At 44.9% G+C, this 4,036-nt stretch overlaps 1 annotated feature.

Moving 5' to 3' along the window:
- Window positions 305–384: an enhancer, noted in NCBI's record as "active region_27946". NCBI's record gives its function as "activates an Ori minimal core promoter by ATAC-STARR-seq in GM12878 lymphoblastoid cells {active_cell/tissue: GM12878}" and the evidence as "EXISTENCE:reporter gene assay evidence [ECO:0000049][PMID:35858748]".

Here is a 4,036-nt window from a genome sequence, read left to right on the forward strand (position 1 = left end):
CTGAGGAAAACCAATATTTAAAAGCTGGGTAGAAGAGAAGGAGAATAAGAAGGAGTAATTAATGACCAAGGAAGAAAACCAGGAGAATAAACTTGTATTGATTCAAAGGACAGAGAAGCTTAGAATTAGGAGGTCAGGTCTGGTTCAACTGCTTCATTTTCATATGGGAAACTATAGCCCAGATAGGGGAAGTGACTCACCCAAGATGGTACAACTAGATAACCTCAGAAGAACTTTCTAACGATGAGCAGTACTGCCCAGCAGTGAAATAGACTTTCTCCTCAGGCAGTGGACTCCTCACTATGAAAGGACACAAATAAAAGCTGAAAGGTACAGCTGGATGCTAGAGAATAATTGTGGGTTTTTTTTGTTGTTTTGCTTTTTTTTCTTCTTCTTTTTAGAGACGGAATCTCACTATGTGGCAGAGGCTGGTCTTGAACTCTTGGGCTCCAGTGATTTGCCTGTCTCAGCTTCCCAAAGTGCTGCGATTACAGGCATGAGCCACTGGCCAGCTAGAGGATAATTCTGTGTGTGTTTGGGGTGAGGGGCGGTAGCCGTGGAGGGAAGATTTTCCCTAGACAGAAGGTTGTAGAAAAGGTGACCCTCCGGTATGGCTAGTATACTTTGTATCTCAGGATTCCCAAGGTCTATTTATTAGCACATGAATGGAAAGATAAAAACTCGTAAATGTAAACAATCATTTGATGAAAAAAGAGGAGAGAAAACAAATCCATTTACAAAACACATACATTGCAGAAGTTTCTTGCTGAGGCTCTCTAACTATGCCAAGAAAGAGATAAAACGTATCAGCAGACTTCCATAAAGAGATAAAATGTTATCAGCCGACTTCCATAGGGTTCCCTTCCTCTGTGGATTCTTCATGACAACAAAGTATCAAGAGCTTGAAGATGGAAGAGTCTGCATATCCCTCATTTAGTAGACCACAGTGTGAGTGCCAGATCCCCCCACCACCCCTGGGAGCATAGGTCTACCTTCCCCACCAGGACCCATGGGCCAGATCTCACCACCACCCCTGGGAGCACAGGTCTACCTTCCCCACCAGGAACCATGGGCCAGATCTCACCACCACCCCTGGCAGCACAGGTCTACCTTCCCCACCAGGACCCATGGGCCAGGGTTTCTGTGTGGGCATTTGCACGACAGAGTGTGAAGCCTTTTGTAAACATTACCTTCATGACTTATTTACAAGGCACTGGGTAGAGCAATCTGCCCCCAGTGCTTGGAGGGAAGAGAGGAAAGATAAGGTCACAGAGAGAGCACTCAGAGGCAAACCCACAAAAAACCCTCAGAATATTTGAGGGAGGGGCTATGTACTTCTCCCACTTTTATTCTCTCTGCCGCCACTTCTCCAACATTCATACTGGCTTTCTGTTTCTCCCTTCCCTCTCCTTCCTCCCCTTACCCTCTCTCAGCCCTGCCTGCCTTGCCATTTGGCCACTCTGTTTAGTCCGAGATGCTGGGAGCCACTATGGCCTCCAAATAATAAGGGTCTTGTGGCCCCTAACATGAAGGAAGGGGGTACAGGTGGGTACAGATGGAGGAAAATTGTACACAAGGGTGCAAGAACCACAGGGGAATCACGCTAGGGGCAGAAACTCTATTTTCTCCCAAAAGTAACAATACAGGATGTGGAGGAGGAGGAAACTGAGGAAGAATTGCCGAGTGGAATAAGAGCAAGAGCTGGTCAGCGGTTTACAGGAGGAGTCTCAGGTGGCACAGGGATTCGGGCTGAGGTGCTGTGATACTAGGGTAACCCCAATCTGCACAGTCGTGTGGCATCCTCCAATAGTGCTCAGAAGCCGGAGTGCTGGAGGAGAGGGCTGTAGCAGTGACCACATTTGGGGTTTGGCTGAATGCTTCTGGCAGGAGGGTCAGAGCTCCACAGAAGCAGGAGCATCAATAAGAGAATTATTTTGGTGATCAACCAAGTGGCCTAAGTTAAAAGGGAAGCTGTGAATCCAGTAGCCACTGACTAATGGGGAGAAGATGGAGGGGAAAGCAGGAAGGAGGCAGACAGGAGGAAACTGGTGTCAAAGCAAGGGATATTGAATGCGAAGTCTTCAGAGATGAAACCAGGCAGTGCTGACATTCGCCAGAGTATGGCTACAGGGTAGGGTGGCTGAGGTGGAGCGGGGATGAAGGTCACCAGAGTTGGCAAGGTGAGGAATGAAAAAGCAATGATGCTACTGTGTACAGTCAATGTTCTCAGGGACACTGAGGTCAGTCATGAAGACAAAAAAAAAAAGTGAGGTAAGAGAAAGATACTGAGCCAGGACCCAAGTCGCCAGGGAATGCTGGGGAAGGAACAACCACAGCTGGGAAAGGCAGAGGCGTTTACTGGATGGCACAAGCCTCAGAGGAGAAGGCAGCACCATAGGGAAAAGGAGCAACAAGTCGGAAAAAAGCAACAAAAGACCAAAAGCTGCAATGAGGAGCTGTGAGGGAGCCAGTCAGCCCTGGAATCCACCCACAGCCTGGAGCAAGTGGAGCTGTGAGAGAGCAAGGGAGACAGATGAGGGAGATGGGCCAGAAGGAGCAGGTCTCAGGAAAGAGTGCTGGCTGCTCCCTAAGGTGGGAGGAGGATGTTTCAAGCAGCGGGTGATATGGAATAGTGAGCACAGGTGAAAGGTTTGTGAGAAAGGGGGAGCAGCAAAAGCAGAAGGCAGAGGAAAATGAGGAGTGCACCAAACACACAGAGGTCCAGAAAACCTATATTTGGGGATTCAATGATAAAATCAAGATTGAAGTTCTGGTGTGGTGGCTCACACCTGTAATCCCAGCACTTTGGGAGGCCAAGACAGGCAGATCACCTGAGGTCAGGAGTTCAAGACCAGCCTGAACAACATGGTGAAACCCTCTCTCACTTAAAAATCAAAAATTAGCTGGGTATGGTGGCAGGCACCTATATTCCCAGCTACTCGGGAGGCTGATGCAGGAGAATCGCTTAAACGCGGAAGGCGGACGTTACAGTGAGCTGAGATCAAGCCACTGCACTCCAGCCTGGGTGACAGAGTAAGACTCCATTTCAAATAAATAAATAAAATAATAAAAATAAAATAAAATTAATATTTAAGAGACTTTAATGAGAGATGTACGGACATTATGTGATTTTTATAAAAGTGTTTTTGTCAAAAAATCAAAATCACAACCCAATTGTCCCATCCACCAATGAATGGATAAGCAAAATATGTCAGTCACACAATGAAATTCTGATACCTGCCACGACATGGATGAATCCTGAAAATATTATGCCAAGTGAAATATGCTGAACACAAAAGGACAAATACTGTATGATTCCACTTAAAGGATACACCTAGACTAGTCAAATTCGTAGAGACAGAAAGTAGACTGGTGGGTGCCGGGGCTGGGGGAGCAGAGAATGGGAGTTGTTGTTTACTGGATGCAGGGTTTCTGTTTGGGATGATCAACAAGATCAACAAGTTCTGAAAGTAGATGGTGGTGATTGTTGTACATTGCAAATATACTTAATGCCAGTGAAATATACACTTAAAACAGTTTAGATGGTAAATTGTGTGTTACATATATTTTGTCATAGTAAAAAAAAGGTATATTAAAAAATTGAAACCGAATCTGATCAAGCCTCTGAATTCTACTGCCAATTTATAGGGAAAAAAAGGAGACAGAGTAACATGTTAGATGACACTACTGGGAATACAATCAGTAAAGTTTATGATTTGAGAAACTTAACCAACAACAAGGAAACTTTTTTTTTTAATAACAAAAACTCAAGAGAAAAAAAGGAGAGATGAAGGAGAAACCCTAATTAATAGGGACTTAAAAGACATATCCATAATGAATCCTAATTTAAACAAAAACAATTGAGATAATTTGAACACTAGATATTTGACAATATTAAGAAAGTATTGTTGGCTGGGTGCAGTGGCTCACACCTATATTCCTAGCACTTTGGGGGGCCAAGGTGGGCAGATAGTTTGAGCTCAGGAGTTCGAGAGCAACCTGGGCAATATGGTGAAACCCTGTCTCTATAAAAAAT

The sequence above is a fragment of the Homo sapiens genome, chromosome 8, assembly GCF_000001405.40.
Source record: "Homo sapiens chromosome 8, GRCh38.p14 Primary Assembly".
NCBI classification, from domain to species: domain Eukaryota; kingdom Metazoa; phylum Chordata; class Mammalia; order Primates; family Hominidae; genus Homo; species Homo sapiens.